This window comes from Homo sapiens, chromosome 1 (genome assembly GCF_000001405.40).
Source record: "Homo sapiens chromosome 1, GRCh38.p14 Primary Assembly".
Lineage (NCBI taxonomy): Eukaryota > Metazoa > Chordata > Mammalia > Primates > Hominidae > Homo > Homo sapiens.
Window position 1 is genome coordinate 3691269 of NC_000001.11, and position 25300 is coordinate 3716568.

At 61.9% G+C, this 25300-nt stretch overlaps 1 protein-coding gene and 1 long non-coding RNA gene across 16 annotated transcripts in view, besides 3 other annotated features; one reads left to right on the forward strand and one right to left on the reverse strand.

Annotated features, from left to right (window-relative positions):
- Positions 1-25300, forward strand: part of TP73 (tumor protein p73) — an 83686-nt gene that overhangs the window by 38753 nt on the left and 19633 nt on the right. For 14 of the 15 annotated variants that reach the window (NM_005427.4, NM_001204184.2, NM_001204185.2 and 11 more), the window contains one exon: positions 16281-16523. In NM_005427.4, the coding sequence (NP_005418.1) occupies positions 16281-16523 (243 nt within the window). Of the gene's footprint in view, positions 1-6777; positions 6884-16280; positions 16524-25300 lie in introns of those variants that run through there. The other variant, NM_001204192.2, reaches the window with a different exon arrangement.
- Positions 16067-16894: an enhancer, noted in NCBI's record as "H3K27ac-H3K4me1 hESC enhancer chr1:3623899-3624726 (GRCh37/hg19 assembly coordinates)". NCBI's record gives its function as "activates a minimal SCP1, AML or CMV promoter by ChIP-STARR-seq in naive H9 embryonic stem cells {active_cell/tissue: H9 hESC(naive)}" and the evidence as "EXISTENCE:reporter gene assay evidence [ECO:0000049][PMID:30033119]".
- Positions 16895-17723: an enhancer, noted in NCBI's record as "H3K27ac-H3K4me1 hESC enhancer chr1:3624727-3625555 (GRCh37/hg19 assembly coordinates)". NCBI's record gives its function as "activates a minimal SCP1, AML or CMV promoter by ChIP-STARR-seq in naive H9 embryonic stem cells {active_cell/tissue: H9 hESC(naive)}" and the evidence as "EXISTENCE:reporter gene assay evidence [ECO:0000049][PMID:30033119]".
- Positions 20932-23030, reverse strand: TP73-AS2 (TP73 antisense RNA 2). Its single transcript, NR_185884.1, has 2 exons — positions 22919-23030; positions 20932-21170 (listed from the first exon to the last, which is right to left on the reverse strand). It is a non-coding gene; the product is annotated as a TP73 antisense RNA 2 (long non-coding RNA).
- Positions 23326-23565: a silencer, noted in NCBI's record as "fragment chr1:3631158-3631397 (GRCh37/hg19 assembly coordinates)". NCBI's record gives its function as "represses an EF-1alpha promoter that drives an FKBP-Casp9 reporter gene in an ReSE screen in phorbol 12-myristate 13-acetate-treated (for megakaryocytic differentiation) K562 erythroleukemia cells {active_cell/tissue: K562(+PMA)}" and the evidence as "EXISTENCE:reporter gene assay evidence [ECO:0000049][PMID:32094911]".

Below are 25300 nucleotides of genomic sequence, written 5' to 3' on the forward strand. Positions count from 1 at the left end.
GGGCTGGCGGCTTGGTCCAGGCTCAGAGTTTCCGAGCTGCCCTGCCCTGCCCCAGCTGCCAGGAGCTCAGTGCACCCTAGAAGTCATCTTTGCTCCTGGGCTTGGGTGTGAAGCTGCCCCCGCCCTCATCAGGGAATTTGCTCATTTGACAGCAGTGGCAGACGGTGCTTCTTGTCAGCCCCACGGGCTCTTCTCGGTGTGGGTCTGAGCTCCAGGGCCAGGACCTGTGGCAAACTGGGCTTGAGGCCTCTTGCGCCACCCGCCCCCTGCAGTGGGCTGCTGGCTTGGAAGAGGGGAGGGAAGGGTCTGCAGCTTGTGGTTGGCCCCTGCAGCCTGAGCCCTGGGGACCTGGCCTCACTTCCAGACTTGCCAGGTCCCTGGGGGCCAGGCAGGCACCAGCTGCTAATTGAGAAGGTGGAAGGCTCGGCACAGCTGCTCCACGTGGGGCCGTTCCTCCTCCCAGGGAAGCAGACAGCTGGGACCATGGGTACCTGTGCCACACGGGAAACTCAGCCATGGGCAGGGGGCAGCGGGCAGATAGGCAGAGTCCAAGTGCCCCGAAGCTCTGCTGGCACTGGGATGTAGAGGCCCAAAGATCTGGGGACGGAGGCCTTTGGAGCCGTGGGCTCCCCAGGCAGTGTGACCAGGGTGTGTGTGACAGCGATGTGTGTGAGCGTGCACATCAATGTGCATGTGGCGGGTGGGTATTGGTGTGCGTGCATGTGTGTGTCTAAGCGTGGATGTGCATGCAATACGCAGGCGAGGATATGTGCAGATGTGTGTGTGTATGTTATGGGTGTGTGTACAGGCTGGTGTGTGTGTATGTACACGTGTTTGCCTGTGTGTTGTGGTGTGTGTACGTGTGAGCAGATTGGTACTGCAGGTGTGATTGTGTGATTTGGGTGGGTAGGTGCTCACGTGTGTCCGTATGTGTGTTGCGATGGATACATGGATGTCTGTGCCTGTAGCTGTGTGTTCCCAGGCAAGGCTTTGAGAAGAGAGGCAGTGTGTGTGTGTGGCCCAGAGGGTGGGTGAGGGTGTGGGTGACCCAGCCCCACAGCCTGCCCAGATGCTGGGTCCATGCACTCGAGTCTGGCGGCACCATGGCCTCTCCACACGCCTGCGTGATCTTTTTATCTGAAACCCAGTGCTGGGACTGTAGCCCAGAGCGTGGAACGGCTACATCAGGCATGGGGTGTCCCTCTCTCCCTTGTCTGGCTGTCACCCACTTGTGCATTGATACATGTATCCACCAACACGTTGCTATTAGAAACGCACAGCAGGCCTGGGGCTCCTGGGGGGCTGCCTTGTACCCCCAGACTCTCCCAGGAGGTGTGTGAGCTGGGAGGGGCTATCTCCCGGCTGCTGGACCGCCTGGAACCCGAGGTGGATCCAGAAGCCTCGGGTGGAGAGGCCAGTGTCGCTGCCTGGCCAGCCGAGAAGCCTGGGGACCTGGGGGACTCTAGTACAATCTTTTCCCTTGAATGGAGCAGATGTCACCATGTGACTCACCCTCTCGGGGGACTCCACCAAGGTTGAGTATGTGGTTGCGCAGACGCCATTCCCGGGAGGGGTGGGGAGGTGGAGCCCTGCTGCCCTGGCCTGCAGACCCTCACTGCCTGCAGGAGCTGCTGGTGTCCACTCGGCTGCTGCTGCCCGGTGCCCTGGGCGTCAGCAATGGCCAGCTGTGCCATCACTGTTTCTTTTTACACCAAGGATTACTGTGGTTCGTTCGTTCATTTGTCCATTCATTCATCCCATCAGCAAGTGTTAACTGGGCACGTTTTGTGTGTTAGGCTGAGTGCCAGGAGCAGGTGGAGGCAGTGCCCAGAGCCAGCCATGTCTCCAGCACCTCTTCCCTCTCGGGGGGAGGTGGGCTAGGCTGGGCCATCCTAATGGGCGGAGTGGTGACTCAGTTTCCCTGTTTCTGTGCCAGAGAGAGTATTCATGACCTCATCTTACTGCAGGAACGTATTTTGAGAGAGAAAGTGGTATTTGGCCCAAAGGGTTTTAAACCCAAAGTGAGCGAATAGAGTTGTATTGGAGTTGGTGGCTTTGTGAGGCCCTGGTTATTCCTATCAAAGCACAGTAGCTGCTCCGGAGCCCGCTGGGCCAGCCTGGCCCTGGGAAGAGGCCCCTGGGTTGCAGGACACTGTCTGAGCCCCCAGCTGGGCCCGCCAATTGCCCCCAGCCTGGCACAGGGTTCCAGGTGTGGGCTTGGGGTCTGTCTCTCTGGCATCTGCCAGCTGAGTCTTTGGTCAGTGACGCCGCTCTCTGAGCCTCAGTCTCCTCTATGATGAGGACGGTGTTCACCGTAGCTGCTCGGCTGCGGGGCCCAATGGGAGCCACTGGTTACTTGCTGCAGATGGGGACGCAGGGGGGCCTGGCCTGGAGAGCTGCCGCCTCAGCCCCTCCTCCCACAATCCCACCCATGCAGCCTTAGCCCCTCCTCCTGCAATCCCAGCCCTGCAGCCTCAGCTCCTCCTCCCACAATCCCACCCATGCAGCCTCAGCCCCTCCTCCCGCAATCCCAGCCCTGCAGCCTCAGCCCCTCCTCCCGCAATCCCAGCCATGCAGCCTCAGCTCCTCCTCCCACAATCCCACCCATGCAGCCTCCGCCCCTCCTCCCGCAATCCCAGCCCTGCAGCCTCAGCCCCCTCCTCCCGCAATCCCAGCCATGCAGCCTCAGCCCCTCCTCCCGCAATCCCAGCCCTGCAGCCTCAGCCCCTCCTCCCGCAATCCCAGCCATGCAGCCTCAGCCCCTCCTCCCGCAATCCCAGCCATGCAGCCTCAGCCCCTCCTCCCGCAATCCCAGCCCTGCATTCTCAGCCCCTCCTCCCGCAATCCCAGCCATGCAGCCTCAGCCCCTCCTCCCGCAATCCCAGCCCTGCAGCCTCAGCCCCCTCCTCCCGCAATCCCACCCATGCAGCCTCAGCCCCTCCTCCCGCAATCCCAGCCCTGCAGCCTCAGCCCCCTCCTCCCACAATCCCACCCATGCAGCCTCAGCCCCTCCTCCCGCAATCCCAGCCATGCAGCCTCAGCCCCCTCCTCCCGCAATCCCACCCATGCAGCCTCCGCCCCTCCTCCCGCAATCCCAGCCATGCAGCCTCAGCCCCTCCTCCCGCAATCCCAGCCCTGCAGCCTCAGCCCCTCCTCCCGCAATCCCAGCCATGCAGCCTCAGCCCCTCCTCCCGCAATCCCAGCCATGCAGCCTCAGCCCCTCCTCCCGCAATCCCAGCCCTGCAGCCTCAGCCCCTCCTCCCGCAATCCCAGCCATGCAGCCTCAGCCCCTCCTCCCGCAATCCCAGCCATGCAGCCTCAGCCCCTCCTCCCGCAATCCCAGCCCTGCAGCCTCAGCCCCTCCTCCCGCAATCCCACCCATGCAGCCTCAGCCCCTCCTCCCGCAATCCCACCCATGCAGCCTCAGCCCCTCCTCCTGCAATCCCAGCCATGCAGCCTCAGCCCCTCCTCCCGCAATCCCAGCCATGCAGCCTCAGCCCCTCCTCCTGCAATCCCAGCCATGCAGCCTCAGACCCTTCCTCCCACAATCCCACCCATGCAGCCTCAGCCCCTCCTCCTGCAATCCCAGCCATGCAGCCTCAGCCCCTCCTCCTGCAATCCCACCCATGCATCTTCAGCCCCTCCTCCCGCAATCCCAGCCCTGCAGCCTCAGCCCCTCCTCCTGCAATCCCAGCCATGCAGCCTCAGCCCCTCCTCCCGCAATCCCAGCCATGCTCTTCACTTGCTTCCCACACTGTCCTTCCACATGGGGGACTGGATAATCCTGTGGTGGCTCTGGCCAAACAAGGCCACGTTCTGAGTCTGCGGCTCCCACGGACTGGGGTTGATCAATGCCCAACCCCGAGGTGGACACAGAGACATTACCCACTTCTGCCTGTAGCAAGGAAGGAGCCGATGGCTGGATGAGTGGGGCCCCTCTAGAAGAGGCTGAGCGCTGGAGACGTCGGAGCTGGGTGCTGTCTACCAACACCCAGGAGTCTCCCTGACTTCCCAAATGTCCAGTTCATGGCCCCTTGCCCCCCACTTCCTCCTGGGGCCGCTGTTCTTCAGCTTTAGGGTCTCAGGAGGTTAGCCAGGGTGATGGGAGACACCCCTAGCTCTCCTGCGCCCTCTCTATGGAGGGGCTGGAGCCTGTCTCGCCGCAGGGCCTGGGCTGTGCACCCTTGGGCCTGGCCTGTTCCCACCCTGCCCCTCCGCATGGTGGGCATCCATGCGTTGCGGGAACGTGGCCACCCCTGTGCTGAGGAGCAGCACGGACGGATCTGGAGCTTTGGACACCCCCACTCCCGTGCGCCCCATGGAGCCAGTGTCCACTCTGTTCCTGCAGAAAGTGAAACCTCTGGGCAGGATGGGCCTCCAGGACAGGGCCCTGGGGCGGGGGGAAGCCAATCAGTGCAGCAAGCTGCAGTTACTAGGCACCTACTCTGTACGTGGGGCTACGGAACCAAGGGACGCAGCTGGCAGACGTTCTGGGAGGGCCCCCGGCTGCAGTGCTGGGGATAGACCACAGGGGGGCAGGGCCAAGGCCAGGAGCCGCCTGCAGGCTGGGACGATCCAGGGAATGGGGCAGCCCCGCCGGTCAGGTGGTACCACACCGTGGGATTCTGGGCAAGATTTGCTGATGGGCTGGATATGAGGGAAGGGGTGGGGGAGACCCCAAGTTTTCTGCCCTGAGATTGGTAGAACTGCAGCAGAGCAGGGGTGAAAACGCCGCGGTCGGCCGTGGCTGTGTTGGAGATGCCCGGCAGCCATTGCATAGCTGAGAAGGAGCCGCATGCAGGGAGGAGGACGACGAGCGAGCAGTTCCCAAAGCCCCATGAGGGAGGGGTTTCCAGTGGTCCTGGGGCCTGAAAAGTGTGACCACCTGGTGGCTCAGTCCTGTGTGCATCAGAGGAGGTGGTGGGTGGTGGTCAGGCTTAGGGTGGAGTTTGAAGGTGACCTTAGAGGAAGAGCAGGGGAGGATTCCAGAAAGATGCTGAGGTTCCATTTGCACCCTTGCAGGAGGCTCTGCTGCTCCCCAAGGCAGGAAAGGCCGGCAGGGTCTGGATGTGAGGTGGGTAAGGAGTTGGGGCCACACTGGCAGGAGCGGCCATGTGGACACTCAGTTGCTGGTGTGGGCAGGCAGGCTGTGGAGACGACCTCTAGGGAGTCCTGCACATGGGCACTTACAGTCAGGGCTCTGGGGGATCTGCACGGAGGCAGGGAGAGACAGCGGCTGGAGCTGAGCACTGGGCACTACGACATCCGAGACACCAAGCAGAGGGGGAGATGCAGAGGGGCAGCCTGGGAGGCCAGGAGGCACGAGAGGCTGGCTGGGAGAACAGAAAAGGGACTGGGGCTTGGCAACCCAGAGGCTGCTGAGTTCCCACGGTTTGGAGAGGGCAGGGCCCAACTGGGAATGGCTCATGGGATTGCTGAGCATGGCCAAGGGAGCCCTCAGCATCCTCTCCAGGCCTTGTGTCATGAAAGACCCCGAGCAGCGGTGGGGCTCAAGCCATGTGGGGCCAGGGGAGGGACCAGTTGTCCTAACTGGAGATCCAGGGATCAGAGGAGCCACCCCACTCACCCGCCTGCTGTGCCTAGTGCACGCCCGCCTCCGGCCCCCCTGCCACCCTCGGCCAGCTGCTATTTCTGTCTCCTTTGTTCTGTCCCCCATTGGACCTCCCCCCAGTCACCAGCCTAATAGGACCTCAACTTGCTAAACCCAAACTAAACTTATCTTCCCCTGAGAGGGGATGGTGCCGTGTCTCAGCCAGCAGGAAATCCACTCTCGCCTTTGCTCAGGCCAGAGCCCTGGAGGCACTCTCCATGCCTGAGGTCCTGTGAATCCTGCCTGCAAATGTGCCTGGGGCCCCTGCGGGGCCCACCTCGCACCCGCGGCCCACGTCGCACCCGCGGCCCACCTCGCACCCACTGCTCAGATACATCTCACAATTGCTGCCTTTGCTGACGCCCGCCCTGTGTTCTCAACACCGGAGCCAGAGGGAGCGCTTTGCAGCCCCGGGCGTCTCTGCTCAGCTCCGACCACCTCTCCCGCTATCCCCCTGGGCTCCGTCTCTCCCTGCACAGGCCCTCGGCCCTTCCTCTGGCTGCAGGCTCTCTGCCCTGCTGGTCCCCAGCCTGGAAACACCCCCAGGCCCACCCAATACCTGGGGCAGATCTTTCCCTTCCTGCAGGCCCGCCTTCACCTTTTCCCGAGCCCGTCCTTGCCTGGACGCCAGCCCTGGCCCCTGTGCCTGGCTCTGTGTTTCTGAGACCACTTTTGATCCCAAGCCCCTGCACGCTTGCTGGCTGGTTTGTTTACTGTCGTCAGCATGGAGGGCCGGGGTCGTGTCTCGTGCCGGCTGCCATCTTCCTGCACCTGGGAGGGTGCTAGGATGTCAAGCCTAGGAAATGGGTGTGAAGAGGAGACCTGCCTTTGCAGGAGCTGACCAAGGCCAGTGCACTGGGCGGGACCATCCGTCACTCCTGAGCCCACTAACTGGGGAGGGGACAGGCAGAGCGGGGCTGGGTGATTCCTGAGCAAGCATGCTGCTGTCTCTCTGGCTCTGGGGCCTCTGCCCTCTGCCTCGATGGCCCCCCACAGCCGTCCTGGACCGCCTTCTCCACCTTTGGGCTCCTGCTCCAATGTCCGCTTATCACCGAGGGCCATCGGAGGTGGCACGCCCCGTGACTGCCTCCCCCTCCCTGTACCCTGCACTGCACGTGTCATAATTCAAGTTCTCGGCTCAGCCACCCATTCTCGGCTCAGCCACTAATGTGTGCTGGAAGGTGTCCAGGAAGCCCTGCTAAGCATCTGTCAGTGTCTCCAGCACAGCAGGAGGCTGTTACAGGTGGCGCCTGATTCACATCTGCAGGACAGGTGGATGGATGGGCAGACAGATGGGCAGGGGCATGTGTGCAAGGACACAGGATGTCAGGGCTGACACCTGGGTTGGGCTCTGGGGTGCTGGCAGCAGGGTTCGGAGAGGGGAGAGAAGCGTGTGTGAGCTGTGCCTTCCCCCTCGTCTTCCCGGGCACTCGGCATTCTGGGTGGGAGGGCCTGGACCAGCCCGTTTCCAGGTGGTTAAATAAAGTCTGTGCATCCTGTTGGCCACCTGCCTCTCATAGGCAGCAGCACAGGGCCTGATGGGGATACAGCCTGGATACCCCACTGGGGCCTCCCGCAGACACTCAGGGTCCAGGCTGCCCCTCGCCACAACCTGGAAGGGAGGGGCTGGTGGGCCAGCCCTCTGGAGGAGGCCTCTCAGGGGAGGTGGGCTTTGAGCGGGATCCGGGAGGCAGGGGGCAGAAGCTGAGGGACGTGGAGAAGGGTCTGGGGGAGGAGGCGGCGGCACCGTGAGTGGACTCCGGGGCGGTTAGCAGGTGGAAGGCAGTGAGGGTTGAGGAGAGGGTGGGGCGAGGCCCTTGCACCAGGCCACAGTGGGCGGCTCAAATGTGGGTCCGTGGAGGCCCGGGGGGCACCAGGCTACCCTGGAGTCATCTGAAGTCACCTGGGCGTGTGGAGGGACATGCATCTGCAAGGCCCCCATGTGGCGCTAAGCACAGAGTGGGTGCTGCAGACGGGCTCAGCCGCTGCGGGCAGGTGCAGGCAGGATAGCAGCGGTGGCCCTGGGCCTCGCAGTCCTGCAGACACACGTCTGGGGACTGCTCCTGGGGGCGCGTTTCTCCGGTGTGAGGTGTGGAAAGTTCCACATGGCCCTGGCACGGGATTGGGCAAGGCCTCGCCTCAGCCCCGGGTGAGAGCAGAGGGTGCTGTGGGTGAGAGCACAGGGTGCTGTGGGTGAGAGCAGAGGGTGCTGTGGATGAGAGCAGAGGGTGCTGTGTGCACATTGTCGGGAGAGGGAGGCTTCCCCCCAGCCGCATGTCGAATCTTGTTGGCATTTCCATTCGTTTAATCACGGGCTCCGGGAGATGCTGTGGGAAGTACCGGCAGGACGGAGGTCTTGCCCTGGTGGGATGGGCTCTCTTCCTCCGAAGCCCAGGCTGCTTGTCAGTCACTCACCCCTGGGTGAGGTTGGGGCCCAAGTTCAGACATGCCCACGAGAGATCAGGGAGTTTGAGGAGCGGCATACTCTCAAAAAACCACAACAGTCTGGTCTCAATATTCTCCAGGGAACGAGGACACGGACCTCCTTGTTCTACAAGAGCTGGGGTCACAGCTCAGAGCCCCTGTCCAGGCTGGAGGGAGAAGGCCAGGAGGCCAGAGGGAGGCCAGCTGAGCCCTCAGGAGACTCCAGGCAGGCCCCGATGCCAGACTCCAGCCCTCAAACATGCTGCCTTCTGGAAACGTCTGTCACGGGCACACCATGCACCATGCCATGGCTGCCAGTGGTGGATGAAGAAGAGCATGTCTCTGCCCCGTCTGGAGCTCCCGGTTCCTGTCCTAGTTGAACAGAATGAATGAGAGTGCGGGATAAATGCCGGGCGGGGAGCAGGGATGCTCGGGCGGGGGCAGGAGCTGGAGAGGTGACAGGAGCGAGGGAGGCGGAGGTGGAGCTGGGGAGGGGCCAGCGGGGCGTCAGGATTTCAGCTGACATCCCTACTACGCTTTTTCACGTGCCTCCCTCTCTGACTCGGATCCTAAGTGATTAGGATCAGAGGAATCTCTGTTTCCAAGAGAAGGGGGACTGCATGGCCAGACCGTGGGCTCGGGCCCCAGTCTCCTGATCTCCGCCAAGCCCAGGGCCCCAGGAAGCGGCCCCATCCTTGGGAGCTGTCCTGGCCTCAGCTCCCAAGGATGGGGTCCCTCGGGAAGCTGTTATTGCTGTCTACGGGGCAGGAGCTCCGTCTTTCGAGCCTCTGCACTTGTGGAGACAAAGGTTTCCGAATGAGCATTTGTGCCCCGCCCTCCCCACCACCCCTGCCAGGCCCAATGCAGGGACCAGGCTGCATGTGCCTTCCCCGCCTCACATCTCCTCCGCTGGAGGAGTCAGCCAAAACCGTGGCCTTTGGAGATGTGGCCAGAGTCATTGTGAATTTTGCTGGCAGGTTTCTCTGTTGTCATTTCCACTAAAAAATACGTTCCGTTCTGGACAGTACCACATCTGTCCCCTGTCATCCGATGGCACGGTCGTGACCTCCCATGCCTTGCTTTGCATTGTGTCTTAAATATCCTAGGCTCTGATAAAAGGCACTGTGGATACCGGGAAGCGAGAGGAGTGGACTAGGGGGGAACAGGGACACAAACTTGAAAAAGATTTATTTCCCATCTACTTGTAAAAAAAATCACTCAAATGCCCCACGCCTGTAATCCCAGCACTTTGGGAGGCTGAGGTGGGCAGATCACCTGAGGTCAGGAGTTCGAGACCAGCCTGGCCAACATGGTGAAACCCCCGTCTCTACTAAAAATACAAAAATTAGCGTCTGTAATCCCAGCTACTGGGGAGGCTGAGGCAAGATAATCGCTTGAACCCAGGAGGTGGAAGTTGCAGTGAGCCGAGATCCCACCACTGCACTCCAGCCTGGGCGACACAGTGAGACTTCGTCTCAAAAAAAAAAAAAGTCACTTGAGACGGTTTACACATTTTAAACAGTCAACAGGTGCAATGGGAATCTTTTAACAAAACCACAAAATCCAACTTAATCTGAAATAGAACAGAACCCATGCGGCGGGAGGGTGATGATGGGGCCCAGCTCCCCTCCAGCTCCTGGCCGGTGAGGACAAAGAGTCTTTCAAGGGGCTGTCCCCGCCCTCCACATTCTGAGGAAGGCAGCCTGGACCCTGGGCACTGTCTGGGCTTGGGGCTGTGGCCGACATGGCGGGCAGTGGCACACCGTGGCCACTTCCCCCAGTTGGATGGCCCGCGTGGATTTCAGGGTCTGTTTCATCCAACCAAGAGTTTCTGAGCGTCCTGTCGGTACTGGCTATCTGGACACCTCGGGGAACAGGAGAGACCCCGACCCCTGTGAGCACCTGCCCCCGAGAGCACCTGCTCTTCCCCATCCGTCCCTGTGCCCAGGGCTTAGCGACTGTCCTCTGCGTAGTGAATCTGGATTCCCGTCCCTGTTCCTCGGCGGAGCCTGCCCAGCCGTCGTTCCTCCTGGCTGGGTTTTTGTGCCAAGGCGTGGAGGTCATGCCTCGTGCATGGGAGCTTCCTGGACATTGGTTCCAGGAGGGCTCCCGGGCGAGAGTCACTTCCGATGAAGTCTCAGGTTACCATACTTCTGGACCCTCTTGATCCCCACAACCATCCTACGAAGTCCACGTTGATTTCTTTTTTGGTTTTTTTCGAGACAGAGTCTTGCTCTGTCACCCAGGCTGGAGTGCTGTGGCGTGATCTCAGCTCACTGCAACCTCTGCCTCCCGGGTTCAAGCAATTCTCCTTGCTCATCCTCCCAAGTAGCTGGGATTACAGGTGCCCACCACCACGCCCAGCTAATTTTTTTTTGTAGTTTTAGTAGAGACGGGGTTTCACCATATTGGCTAGGCCAGTCTTGAACTCCGGACCTCAGGTGATCCGCCTGCCTCGTCCTCCCAAATTGCTGGGATGACAGGCATGAGCCACCACGCCTGGCCAGTACATGTTGATTTCATCCCCACTCTGCAGATGAGAAAACGAAGACCTAGGGAGGTGGAGCGATGGGCCAGGTTACACAGGTGGAGCTGAGACTTGGCCCCAGGACTCCTGACCTCAGAGCCCTGCTTGGCCCCCCAGGTCCCTGGGAGGTCTCTCCTGCCCCTCTCCTGGATGGGCAGAGAGGCCTGGTTTCCAGGATGGTGGCGTAGGGGCATCAGTAGACCCAGAAGAACCTGCTGTTCTGGGATGGGCAGCCCTGGCCACCACTTCCTGCCCACCTTGTGGGAACCCCCAGACCTCAGCCATCACCGTCCCCAGCTTGGCCGACGGTAGATGCTGGTGCTTGGATTGGGGTGTCCAGCCAGTGGGATGGGGCTTCAGGGCTGGGCTGAGCTCTGGCCTCCCCCACACTGCTCCTCTCTGCTCTCAGACAGGCAGGCCAGGGGGCAGGCGGGACCCTCCACAGCCCTCCTGGAGGGGGCCCAGCTACTGGGTGGCCTCTCAGTCTCTGACCCCTCATTTTGGAGCAAGGTCACTGGCCTGCTGCCACCCCAGGGGCATGGGTGGATCAAACCAGTGAGGTCTGGGAACTGTGTTGATACCTGTGACTGGCCCAGGCGAGAGAGCAGCCCCATTTACCACTGCCTGCTGCCCACACCCCAGCCCCCAGCCCCCAGCCCCCAGCCCAGAGCTAATCTCCAGCACAGGTGCACCCAGGGAGGTCCCCAACCCATCCGCAGGGAGGAGAGATGAGGCCTCCTGGGTGGGTGCGTGGGGGCTGCAGTATTTCCCCTGGCAGAGCACTCCTGCCCCGCAACAAGGCCCTGGGGCCCCAGCAGGGCCTGGTGCGTCCGCGGCCTGGAGGCTGGCGGGAAGGCCACCCGCTGGCTCTCTGGCTCCCGCGCACTCCTTGGGTCAGGCCCAGGAGCCCTGCACACACATGTAGGCACTTGTGGCCGCCGCGGGCCGGGCGTGTCCTAATTAGCCCACTATCTTGGGAGCTCTTGTTGAAAGCAAAACAAACCAAAAAAGTCCTGGTTGTGCCCGGGTTCCTCCCCGTGGCTTCCGGGGGCCCTCTGGTTGTGGGAGACCCCGGGCTCCTGTGCAGGCCTGTGTTAGGTTCAGGGTTCCCTGTTTCAGCAGCTTGACCCCGAGCAGGAGCCAGGCCCCAGGGAAAGCTCCTTGCCGCCAGGCAGGAAGCGAAAGGGAAGACCAGAGTCCCCCGAGCCAGGTGGAGGGGCTTGTGGAGGATGCCTGGGGAGGCCTAAGGGGGAGGTCAGAGACCCAGAAAGCCCCCTACACTTCCCAGATGCTGCGTTCCCAGCTGCATTCATAACTGCAGCTGCAAAGCCTCTGCCACCCACTGGGGGTGTGACAGGGGCGGTGACCACAGGCAGGGCCAGCGTGCAGGGAGAGAGGTCCCCTGGAAGCAGGAGGAGAGGACAGCGTCCCCTGGGCAGAGGACAGGCCCAGTAACCCTGGGGAGGAGGGGGCTTCAGAGGCCCCCACCCCGTGTCACTGAGCCTGAGGATGAGAGGGGACCAGAGGGAGAGGCCGACATCGGGGCCCTGCCTGAGGAAGGCCCTGCTAAGGGAGCCTGCCTGGGGCCCTGGGCCACAGAGGACGGCACCGAGAGGGCTTCAGGCCTGCTGTCCGGACACTTGTCCACTAATTAGGATTCCCGCGTGGGGCCGCCTGCCGCAAGGGCCTGGCTCACTCCCGCTGGGCTGTGCTAGGCGCAGAGATCCTATCAGCTCTTCTCCTCTTGCCTCAATGACTAATTCCTTGGCACCTTCCTCAGATCATACAAGAATGTGGACAAGTTAAAATATGAAACACGTTGTCGTGGGTCTGCATCCTGCTTCTCCCAAACAAGGGAGGCATGGGCTTTTTGCCCCACTGGCTGTCCTGTTCTCAGGGATGGAGCAGGGATGGGAGTCGGGCAGGGGGACCCTGGAGCCTGCCCTTGCCTGTCATCCTGACCTGAGAAGCCTCAGCTGGGCAGCCCTTGAGCCCCGGGATGTTCTTGCCCGGGGGACTCAAATGAGTCAGGAATGGGGAAGTCGTGCATCCCTGAGGCCATCCCCGGGCCCAAAACAGGGAAGACCTTTCCAGGAAGGCCACCGCTGGTCACCTGGAAGAGAGAGGGCACCACGGAGAGGGGAGGGTGGGCAGGCTGGCACCCGGTACCCGGTGATGGGAGGGGCCGGCTCATGTCCCACACTCACTCCTGGGCAGCTGGACTGGGGGAGCCGTCCTGCATTCGCTTGTTCGTTTGTTCTGCCAGCTCGCTTGTTCAGCGAGCCTTTCAAGCAGCCACGCTGTAATAGGAGCACGGACTGAGGGTGTCGGCTCCGAGCCGTGTGTGTAATTCTGCTTTTTCTAGTAGCCGCATTCAAAAAGGTGGAAAGGAGCTGGCGGAAGTCATTTAATTATTTCCTGTATTCACCCGTAACTGTGATCGTTTCAGCCTGTAATCAGTAGGAAATGGTGAGCGAGGTGTTTTCCGTTCTTTCCGTGGTCCTGAGCCCTTGGAATCGGGGTGCGCTCACACACTGGGCTCAGGTCCATCCACATTTCACACACCCCCACCCTGTGTGGCCAGTGGCCACCGTATCCAGGGTCCTCGTGGGTTCACAGTCGAGTAGGGGAGACAGAAGCCATGGGGGACATGCGAGCCTGCCCTTCCGGAGAATGGCTAGAAAGATGCTCAAACCGGGTGACGAAAGAGAACACCTGAGGCCTGGGCGCTGCTCCTGCCCGTGTGGCCAGGGCTGACCCCTCGGAACAGTGACCTCTGAGCCCGGACAGGGCTGGTGAAGGGTCGTGTGCAGACCACAAGTGCAGGCTTCCAGGAAGGGCCTGGGCCCGTGGTCGTAAGCAGGTCTCAGACACCTCAGAGGCCTCTTGGGCCTCGGTGAGGAGTCTGGGAGCCGGGGACTCTGGGGCGGGGCCTGGGCTGTGCGACCAGAGCCTGGCACTGCCCCTTGTCACCCCCACCATCACCCAACCTCCCATGTGTGTAGCTGAGGCAGGGGTCCATCCTCTGTGCCAGAAGCCTACTGGCAGCTCGCCGGTGCCCAGGGTGACACCCAACCAGACACCAGGAGGAGCAGGAGTAGCCTTTCTACATCTTTCTCTGAGGGGGGCAGTGGCTGCTTCCCCAGACCCCCTCACAATAGCCCAGGAGCCAGGAGAGGCGAGGGTCACCCTTCCCTGGGATGTTATATTTTGTTTCGTTTTTTGAGACAAAGTCTTGCCCTGTCTCCCAGGCTGGAGGGCAGTGGCGTGATCTTGGCTCTCTGCCGTCTCAGATTCCTGGGCTCAAGAGATCCTCCCGCCTCTGCCCCCCAGAATGCTGGGATTACGGGCGTCCCCCCGTGATGTTTTTAAGCTGGCACCATGGCTTATCCACGTGGCAGCGTGTGGGAGCTTCCTTCTGTCTTATGGCCGAGGAAGAGGCCACTGTACAGACACACTGTTTCTTTATCCATTTGCCATTCAGTGAACCCTGGGCTCCTGGGAAGGACCTGTGGTGCAGGAAGTTAGGGAGGTTGTGGGGAGCGCGACAGACCAGGAAGGAGGCTGCAGTGGTGCCGGAGAGGTGGGCAGGGCCCGTGCTGCAGGGGGTCCCCGTTCCACTGGTGGGTGGGCTCCCCAGGTTGACAGCTCACAGCCAGCTTAATGGTGCCAGATGATGGCAGCTTCAGCCGAGGCCTCGTGCCAAGACCCTTGCAGTGGAGCCAGGGCACGGGTCGCCCCTGACGGCTCAGGCCTGCTGGGGCTGTTGGCTGTCCTGGGCTGGAGCACACAGGGAGAGGGCCTGCCTGGCCTTTGGTGGCCCTGGGAACAGTGGTGATGGCTCTGGTGAGCAGCAGTCCCCTGCCTCCTGCCCCTCCGGCATCCCGGGCTGAGCTGCCTCCACGTTGGACTGCACTCAGTGGAGGACTCAGTAGAGGACTCAGAGAGGACGCAAACTCTGGACTTGCCTGGCGTCCTTCTCCATTGGATGCTGGAGGGGCCGGGGGATGCGGCCCTCGTCAGGGACCTCAGTGGATGTGTGTCCTAGGACCTGCAGAGCCGAGGGCCTCTGGGTCACTAAACCCAACCACCTCTGATGGAGAAGGCTGAGGTGCAGGAAGGGGCTGAGCCTGGGAGTCCCGGCGAGGCCCCTGCACCCTCCTGTGCGGGCAGTGCACGTTTTGTTTTTTGGATTGGAGGGGGCAGGCTGGTGGGAGGGAAGAGTGTGCTCACAGCACACCACAGCTTCTCTAAAGAGGGACACAGGGCAGAATGACCGCCCCCCGCCCCCGGCCCGCCTCCGCCTGGCTCTGCCCCTTCCTGCCCTGCAATCCCAGTTCACGGTCTGGGGGTCTCAGCCTGCACCTTGCTGACTGCTGGTGACCTTTGTGCCGTCTGCTGGGGCCGCTAGATCACTGGGGTCAATCGTTTCCCCAGCCCCATAGCTCAGTTTCCTCATCTGTAAAATGGGGACAATCATGGTGCCCACCGCAGGCCTGGGGAGAGGGGTAATAGGGACAATCACGGTGCCCGCCGCAGGCCCGGGGAGGGGGGTAATAGGGACAATCACGGTGCCCGCCGCAGGCCCGGGGAGGGGGGTAATAGGGACAATCACGGTGCCCGCCGCAGGCCCGGGGAGAGGGGTAATAGGGACAATCACGGTGCCCGCCGCAGGCCCGGGGAGAGGGGGGTAAAGGCATTTGTTTGCGTTGAGCCTCGGGGGTCACAGGGAAAGCGCTGTTTATACATGTGCAGTCTTCCTCCAGCACCCGCCTCTGGATTTGGAAGGAGGGTCTTCCTCAGCAGCCCACCAAGTGAGGTCTGCCCTGCCCTGGATCTGAGACATCGAGGCCAGACCAGCACCCCCTCCCTCAGCTGGGGCCTCCCTTAAGCTCCTGGCAGAGGCTGATCCATGCTGGGGTCCCGGGGCGCCACAGACGGTGGCGCAGGGGACACACCCACAGGGGTTCCTGTTCCTTGGTGTGTGGTCCTGGCGGGGGAGCTGCGGGTAGGGGCCTAACGAGAGAACCCCGGGCCAGGGGGCAGCAGGGGTGAGGCTTTGCCGGCCCCTGAGCGTGGAGCGGCCTTTCCAGTCGGGGTGAGGCCGTTCACCGAGAGATGAGGCCGCCCAACTGGGAAAATTGGGCTCAGCCATTGAACAGCAGTTCCACCTTATCCCACCACCTAGAGGGCCAGACCTAGTGAGAGCCCGGATCTGGTCTCCAGCACCTCAGGGGCACCCACGCACCCAAGCCCAGGTGTGCGCACCCTGCACTCAGGGCCCACTTGTGCCCAGCCCACCTCCCCCACTGCCTGGCTCCCTGGGGCTGGATCTCCCCACTTTGAGCTGTGAGGTCCAGACCCCGATGCCGCCCGGAGGGTACAGTGAAGCCCGTGTGGGCATCAGGGCCTGGGAGCCTCCCCCACCCGACGCCTCCCCTCCAGGTGTGCAGAGAGTCTATTCCGCCTCATCAACGGCTGGGTGGATCCCCAGAAACCCTGGCACCGGGAGGCTGATGGAGGGGAGGGCGAGGTGAATATGTCAGTTTATCCCAATGCAAGTAGTGGCCTGTTGGGATGGGGGAGAGACCCGGGGAAATATTTGGGATGACTGGAGCCGCTGGCCCTTTAAGGCTCCTGTAACAGGACACCTCCTAGACGGGACAGGACGACTGACTGTGTGTGTTTCCCCCTCCCTCCTCCCCTTTCCCGCGCCAGGCCCAGTTCAATCTGCTGAGCAGCACCATGGACCAGATGAGCAGCCGCGCGGCCTCGGCCAGCCCCTACACCCCAGAGCACGCCGCCAGCGTGCCCACCCACTCGCCCTACGCACAACCCAGCTCCACCTTCGACACCATGTCGCCGGCGCCTGTCATCCCCTCCAACACCGACTACCCCGGACCCCACCACTTTGAGGTCACTTTCCAGCAGTCCAGCACGGCCAAGTCAGCCACCTGGACGGTGAGTTCCCCTAGTCCCTGAGGGCTGCGGGCTGCGGGCTGCGGGCTGGAGAGGAGGTGGCTGCGTTCCCCGCACCTCAAGAGGTCTGAGCTCGCCCCACTGTCTGCTCGGGGTTCCCACCTGGCCCGGGCCAGGAGGAGCATCGGGCAGGAGGCGGGTCTCAGGGCCGGGCAGTCTGGGTGTGCCCACCCCTCTAGACGTGAGTGGCCAGAGCCAGTCAGCCTCCAAAGGGCCACAGAGGGGACGGACTTGGCCCTGCTGGTGAGATCTCTGCCAAGACTGGCCAGCGGCTTCCCCATGCTCAGGTGGGATCTTTGGTTTGAAATCCTGTCCTGGACAGAGGCACGGGCTCTGCTGCCAAGAGTTGTCTGTCCGAGACAGGCCCACAGCCCTAGGGTCTGCAGAACCTGCCTCCTCCAGGCAGCGAGACGCATCTGCGGGTGGGTGGATTTGGGCTTTGCTGGCACTGTCTCTGGAGTGTCATTTCCAGGAATTGGCATGCACCAAGGAGATGGGGTGGAACCACCGTGCCAAGGGCTCAGGTCCTCACTGCGGTGCCCCTGGAGACAGACTGGCCCACGGTGGGGATCTTGCTAATTCTGATAACATCACCTGTGCACAAGGCCAGTCTCCTCGAGCCAGGCACCATGCTCAGGGCTTTGAGTTGAGCTAACTCTTGCACCCACCAACAACGCACAGGGCTGACTCCATCACTGCTCCCCTTTTACAGCCAAGGAGGCTGAGGCTCGGGGAGGGAAGTGGTTCGCCCAGAGTTCTGCTCATAGTAAGTGGGGGCAGCCACCTCTGCATCTGTATTCCTAACCACTGAGCTGCCCTGCCCAGACAGCTTCAGGGGAGGGGGTCTGTCAGGAGGGGCAAGGTGAAGGCTGCATGACCCCAGCCAGGAGTGGAGGGCACGCAGGGGCTGGGCGGGAAAAGCAGCCCCAAGAGCCCTCCGGGTCTCCCCTCCTGCACCGAGGAGGGGGCAAGTGAGCCCTGCCTGGGCACCCAGGCCATGGCTGCAGGAGGGGCTCTATGGGACACATGTTGGTCCGGCCCACTGGGCAGCGTCCCCTCCCCCACGAGGCCCCGCCTCCCCGGGCACAGCTCAGTGCTGGCCCCCTGAAGTCCATGCAGGGCGGCCGCATTCCCACCCCCTGTCGGGAGTGCTGAGCAAGGGGCCCCTCAGGTTTTTCCGCTTTAAGAATCGGGTCCCACTGCCCTGCTGGCCATAGCTGCGGTTTTCCCACGCTCCTGGAGGGCCGAGGGGCAGGGCGGAGCCTAAGGTAGACTGTCAGGCTCTGCAGGTAGCCGGACAGTCCTGCCGGGCTGGTCTGGGGTCTGGGTTCCAGGCCCCGCCCGCCCCCACCTGCGGTTGTTTCTGATTCTCACTCCAGCCACGGGCTCCCCCAGCTGCTGGCTCCGGGCTAAGAGAAGGCTCAGCCCGGACTCGCTGGGCTTGATGGGAGGGGGCTCTGTGGGCTGTTGGGCTGAGGGGCAGAGGACCTGGCACCTCCTCCGGGGCCTCCCACCTCCATCTGGCAGGCAATGCCGACCCCAGTGCTAACACCCCGTTTTCTCCATTTGGAAATTACTCCTCCACGCACCTTACTGCACGATGGAGATAAGGATGGGAAGACCGTGCCAGGGCTGTGGCCAGCACGGTGCTTAGCTCGCAGCAGGAGGCCCATGCGTTGTCTTAATTGTGGTGGTGGTGTGCTGGCCTGGGCCTCCCAAATGAGTGGTTCCGTGGCAGCTGCACCTGCCTGTGGGGCAAGGGGGACCAGGCCTATCCTTCCACCCCACTTGGAGGTCTGAAGCCAGGTCAGAAAGCCCCAAGGCATCCTCACCTGCACACCTCCAGCAGCAGGAGCCTCACCACTGCTTCTCTCCCACACTCAGGCTTGTTGCCTAAGTCCACTCTCTCCCCTCTAAGGACACTGACCTCCTGCCCTGGGGTTTATGATGCTGGTGGTTTCTGGAGAGTGTCTCCCTGGAGTCCTGGCAGGCAGCTTGTGGGAGCTCTGCCTCCCTTCCTCCCATGGTCTGAGGATGCTGATGGGGTCTTCACCATGCTTGGAATGCACTGCATGTGGTCTGAGCTGATCCTCATGGAAGGACAGGAGCAACCCCCTCTCTGGCTGGCTTCCCCCATCTAGGGTATCTGCCACCCCCACCCCCTGCCAGGTGTGTGGCATCAGGTTCAAGGGACTTCATGGTTTTGTCTCAACTGCCTTGTCCTGCAGGACGGGGTGGCCTTGCCCTGTGGGATGGGCTGGTCTGCTCAGACCAGGCATCCCGGGCTGGTCAGCTGCACCAGCGGGAGGGGAAAGCTGTGCCTGGTGCCCAGCAGAGGAGCAGTGACACCTCCTCGCTCCCTCCCTGCTGGGCTCTGTGGATGCTGGGGCGGGGGGAGGGTGGGGGGGCGCGAACTGGGGAGGAAAATGCTGTCGCCTGCACCCAGGGCTCCTCCTCCGAAGCCCTGTGGATCCAGGGGGTGGGACAAACATTGATAATGAGATTTTTGGCACCTCAGCTCTCTGGGGCCAGAACCCCCTCCACCAGGGCTTCTTTCCTTGCCCAGGGAGGGGCAGGCAAGTGGTCGGCTCACAGTGCAGAACGGGGCCGCCGGGCAGCCCGCTTGCTCCCAGCTCTGGGGTCCCACCATGCGGGTGCTGCCCAGCCCTGCTGCCTGTGCTTGCGTCCGGCCTCTGCACCGTGACTCCTGGGGCTCCCGGCACGCCAGCCGGCTGGTAACTGATAGATAATTCATATTTTTCTCAAGTACAAGTCCACATTGGCTGCCGCCCTCCTTTCTCCCCGATCAGGAAAAACACCCTCACCAGCCCCCAAGTGACCACAGATCAGACCTCAGATCTCCTTGGGCACTGAGAGGTCTGGAGGCTGCGGTTCACAGGTCTGTGCATATGTGTGCATACACACGCATGTGCACACACACAGACACAGCACCCTCCCACATGCATGCACACACGTGGATACACAAGTACCTTATGCACACGCAGACACATGTAAACACACAGGCATGCGTGTACATGCACAGGCCTCCCCCCATCACTGCCCAGGGTTCTAGTAGCTCCCACCCCATGGAAACCCAGGAGGAGGAGGAGGCGAGTCGTGGGTAACCGAGCAGCCAGAGGAAGGATTTGTGTTTAGCCACGAGAGTGTAACCAGTGACCAGTGACAGGGCAAGGCCGGCATTTGGTGAGAGGGACCCTGCATGGTGAGAGGGGTGGAGCTGGCGTCTGCTGGGGTCCCAATCCCAGAGCTGCCCGTGAGCACCTTCTGCTTCGCCCCTCTGCCCTGGCATCCTCACCTGCAAAGAGAGGTATGGCCTGCCAGCCATGGTGGGGACAAAGGAGCTGGCTCTTGGGACTTCTTAGGTCAGGGCAGGGTACCTGGGGAGCGCTCCACACACGTGAGCTCTGAGTGCAGTGCTGATGGTGACACCAGTGCCCTTCTCCCAGTTCAACACCCTCTGTGGGACAGTGTGGGCTCAGAGTGTGGGCAGAGCTCTCTGCAGGGCATGCATGACCTGGCCTCTGAGCCCTGCTGGCCACTCCTGTCCTGGGAGCCCTGCAGGTTGGCAGTGGTGTGGACAGCTGGTTCCAGGAGGCCCTCGGGGCAGAGAATGAACAGGAGTTCCTCTAGCTGTCAGAACAGCCCGACGCGATGGGCATCGGATGCTGTGACACCCCGGCTCAGCCGTTCTGCCCCCAGCTCAGCCTCATCAGGGAAGGTGGCTGTCCTTGGTGTTTGGGAAGTTTGGGGACGGGGCTCTGAGGTCAGGCAAGAAGGCAGTGTGGGGTTGGAAGCCCTGGCCCAGCACAGCATCTGTGGGCACCTCAGGGCATGCTGAGTGACACCACCCACAGCCCACGAGGCAGGCTGCCATGGCAGGATGGTGAGGACACACACAGGTGCGATGGCCAGCTGCCCCAGCATTCCTCCAGACAGAAAGATGGCCCGGACACAGCCCCCTGAGTGCCCTCCAGCTGCTCTCAGACTCAGCGTGTGTGTGTGCGCGAGCGTGTGTATGTGTGTGTGTGTGTGTGTGTGCGCGAGCATGTGCACACATGTTTGTCTTAGGGGAGAGCTGGCTCCACGGGTAGGAAAGCCCCCCGTCCAGGAGGGACATATGGAAGGACGGCCAGGGAAGCACAAAGGCTCTGCACGGGATTCCTGGGGAGAATGAGGCTGAGTCAACACTAATGGGTCTGGAGCAACCTTCCCAGCGCCTCGGAGGCTTGCAAGCAGGAGAATAATAGCGGAGGTGTCCCAACACGATCATGGTATCAATTGCATTATCCTAAAAGTTTATGGAATGCATGAGTGGAATTAATACCTTTTACTGGCACCAGAAGCAATTATATGTGCGTAAAGCTGAGGGAAGAGTTCTAACAATGTTTATTGTGGAGATGAAACGTGGATTATTAGGGGAAACAAGAGTACTTAGGGCGAAATTGCAGCAATTGCTGATATCATGTGGCGCAGGGATCTGCAGCAGGGACGGAGCTTCCAGCAGGCCTGCTCTGGCTGTGGTCAGCGCCTCGGGGCTCGTGGCCCGAGCCGGGGTTGGCTCTTCTCTCTTCACTTTCTGGAGCAGCCAGAGGAACTCACTCTTGGGCCCTGGAGGTCACAGAACTTAGCCTTGGAGGCCCCAAGTGAGGCTGGGGAGGCCCCAGCTCTGAGACCCTGGGTCCTGCTGCCCCACCCCACACTGCCTGGTTCTTGGAGGAGACAGGAGGGAGAACCCCTTGGGGGACAGGATTCCCTTCCATAGGCATGAGACTGTTGGGGGAGAGGCATGATCCAATTTACGTTTTAGGAAGAATCATCTATTTTCTAGGACTTCTTTCCAGTTTGGGGACAGCCCTGTGGACCCAGCATGTCTGATTAGTAGCGTTGGCAGCAGCATTGCCCCTATGTGCAGGGCCTCCCACACTCCCCATTTTACAGATGAGGAAACTGAGGCTCCCAGAGGGCACACCAGGGTCACCTGTCAGCAGAGGGCAGAGCCGGACCTGGCCCCAGCAGCCAGACCCCTAACCTTGCCCTTGCAGCCCGTGTGGTGCCCCACCCCGGCCCCTACAGGTCCCTGGACAGGTCCCCACGAGCAGCCCCTGCCCCCTGCCCCACCCTCTGCTCCCAGCTCTGTGGGGCAGGTCCCTGTGACCCTCAGGGCCCCCAGGGGAACCAGTGATAAGGAGGTGCTGACACCTCAGAGGGACCTGCCTGTCCCTAGGGGAGAAAGCCTTGGACCGAATGGGGTGTGGGGGGAGCCCAGGCTGTACCTTGGCCCCCATGAGCCTTCCACTGCTGTCTGCCAGTGAATCAAACTGGGACTGGGGGTGGAGAGCTGTCCCTGTCTGCTTTCACTGCTTGGTTTTGTTGACAAAGGAAAATCCCTCAAGAACGCTTTATCACTGGAGTGCTCCGAGGCTGGCGAGCCTCATGGGCGAGAAGCCAGGCAGCTGGGCTTGGGGACCGGCCTCTCCTGGTGCCTCCCTGCCCCCTCTGCCTTCACCCCTCCCAGGCCTGGCCTCACTGCCACTAACTCCCGTTGACAGGGGGAAAGAGAGGCCCACAGGGGAGGGCCGTCCCAGGCTTCTCCTGGACCCAGTGCTGACGCCAAGATGCGGTCGTAGGTGACCTGGACCTTGGGCCGTGTGGGACTCGGGGCAAGGTGGGGGGCTCAGCTGGGCAGTGAGTTAGTTTTGCTTCCCGGTCTGGTGGGTTTCTGCCACCCCAGGCCAGTGGTCACTTCTGGGATTTTCTGAGATTCCAAAAGTTGAAGCCACGGACCCTGGAGACCCGGACCCTGGAGGCCCAGCCCCTGCCTCTGGGTAGAGAAGGCCCTGAGCGACCTCCAGACCTTCTGTCCCTTTTCCGAGGAGCCTCAGGAAGAGGGGGACAGACAATTCCAGGGTGTCCCGGCTGGAAAGAAAAGCATCTTCTCTGCACTCCAGGCGGACAGCGTGAGGCTCAGAGATTACGTGGCGGCCGAGGCTGGTGTCCACAGCCAGGGGTTACGATGGGGCTGCAGAGGCCGTGAGCGGAACAGGGCATTTTAGGGCAGAAAGACCCTTTTGGAGAAGGTAACAGCACTCCAGGCTTCAGTGAGGCAGAAGTCAGAGCCCATGGGGAAACCGCACAGGGGGATTACCTAAAGCCCAGAGCCACCCCAAGGGTTGCAAACCCACCCCTCCCCCAGCCATGCCACTGGAGCGAGGCACCCAGCTCCTTGCACCTGGCGTTGGGGAGACACCACTCTCTGCAGGGGTCAGAGATTCGGAGGCCAAAATTCTCCTTCCCCCAGGCATTTCAATGAAGATTTACAAAGTTTAGCAAAAACCTAGATTCTAGCCAACTATTACCTTAAAAGCTGAAGAGGGACCACCCCACCATGTCCACAGCTTACTCCCCTCCCTCCGCTGTCTCCGGCCACCTCCAGCTGCTGCCAATTCCAGCCCCCAAGGCTGTCCCAGGAAGCTGTGGCCAGAGACTCCGGGACTGTCCTGTGAGCAGAGGGCACCCACTGACCCTGGGGCACCCTTCCAATCCCCACAGCTGACAAAGCCGGGCCTCAAAAGGCTGGGTTAATCCTGGCTTCTCCTCAAAGCCACCAGTCAGGGTGGGGGTGAGGATGGTGGGGGCAAGGATGGTGGGGGCTTCCTCCCCAGGAGTTAAGGGGCCCTCTCTGCAGTGAGCAGAGCAGGCCTGTTGCCAGCCTGCTGGGCCCCTCGTGGGACAGCTCCAGGGCCTGGCCCACAGTCCCGCTAGCTAGGTCCTTGCCAGAGGCCGGAGGAGAGGCCAGGCTACTGGCAACGGGCCCTCCAGCTGGCGCTGTCAAAAAGCAAGTTGCGGGCAGAGGACCCTGCGCTTGGTCCCGGCCCAGGGCAGAGGCTGAGTGTGGTGCTTTGAACACTCTGTGTCTTCAGAGCGGAGGGGCAGCTGCTGGTGGGCATTCCGGGGCCCTCTGCAAGCCCCAGCTTTTGTCTCTGCGGACCCAGGGCACTGCCCTGCCACCCCCTCTGTCCCCAAGGCCCCAGATGGGGTACCTGGGTCCTGGAATAAGAGCAGATGGAGTTCCTCGCCCTGCCTGGGCAGCTCATTCCTTCCCGGGCTTGGGCAGAGTGACAGTGATAGTAGCAGCCACAGGGCACCCGCACGCGGTCTCAGTGAATCAGGACAGCGGCGACCGGGTGGGGACTGGGCCCTGAGCTCCTCACACAGCATCTCGGCAGCAAAGTGGAGGCTGGAGCTGTCCAGGCTGGGCCACCCAATCCCAGCCAGACACAAGGCAGTCTGTGTGAGTCTCAGTCTCTATTGTCCATGGAGACCCATCCCCAGCAGGACCAGGGCAGGTGAGGCCCCTGGCTGTTGTTCCCCTTACCCCTAAGGGGCTTAAGTCCAGCCACGGGGTAAGAAGCCCATGTCCCACCTGACACCTCTGTAGTACCGTCTTTCTGGAACCCGGGGTGACGCCTCTGCAGTGCCCAGTCTTCCTGGAACCCAGGGGTGACGCCTCTGCAGTGCCGTCTTCCTGGAACCCAGGGGTGCTTAAGGCGGGTCTCTGCCTAGACCCCGACCCCAGGCCCCAGGACCCAAGTCAAGCCCAGCAGTGACAAAGGGCTGGGAGATGGAGCTTGGGGGTCAGACAGCTATGGTCTGGGTGCTGGTCCACCCCAGCTTAGCAGGCAGGTTTGGGTCACTAAACGGAGTGACAGTGCCTGACCTCCCAGGGCCAAGGTCAGGTGAGGGCCCCGCGCAGGGCAGGCACCAGTGGGCAGTGGATGTGGCCATGAGGGTGGACCCAGGTGCCCCATTCCCTGGCAGGTGGACAGCACTCACTGTCTCCCCAGGTCTCCACACCAACAGAGGCAGACACCTTGGGCAAACGCTGCCTCGCAGCCTCCCCCAACACTAGGCCCCTCTTATCTCCTCTGCCTGTGGCCCTCGTCTCCTACTGGACCCCTGGGCCTTCACTATGCACTGGAGACAAAGCCACCAAGTCTATCCTGGGCTCAGCACATACCTGCTTCCCTCCCCTACCCCGATCATAGCCCAGGATGGAGATCCCTAGAGGCAGCCGTGCATGGGACGAGGATCGAGCAGGCTCCAGCTCCTGTGGTCTGGGTGCACTCAGTGTCTCCCAGGGAGCCGCGCTTCCAGGCCGTTGAGAGTCCCCCGTGTGGCTCCTGCTCACCTGTTTAGGACATGGCTCAAGGTCGTGGTGGGGCAGACTGCCCAGCTCCTCAGGGTTCCCACTTGCCCCTGGCCTGCCCTCCCCAGTGAGCAGTTTCTTGTCCACAGCCTCTGGGGCTCTAGCAGGCCTCCGTCAGGGCTGAGGATCGCTTGGCATCTGCAGAGGATGTTTCTGCCTCTGGTTCATCCTCCATAGAGCTCCTGGCCTGGGAGCCCCGGCTGGCCAGCATGGGGGTGCCAGCAGACACATCTGTCTCCTGCAGCCCCCCCAGCCAGGAGCTCTTTCACAGCAGCCTCTTTTCTTGGGCAGCGCTGGGCCTGGCACTGGCTGTGGCCTCACAGGCATTCTGAAGCTCGCTTGGGCCTCTCATCTGCCTGGCCCATGGGCTGTGGATGTCCTGGTGAGTGAGCCGTCACTGCCTCGACCATGGGAGCCCCAGCTTAACACCAAGGTGTTCTGAAACAGGGGCGATTGCCACATGTGTCCTTTCCCCCTCCCCAGGCTAGTGGCTTCCCTGGGGCAGGGAGGGACCAGCCCTGTGACATCCTGC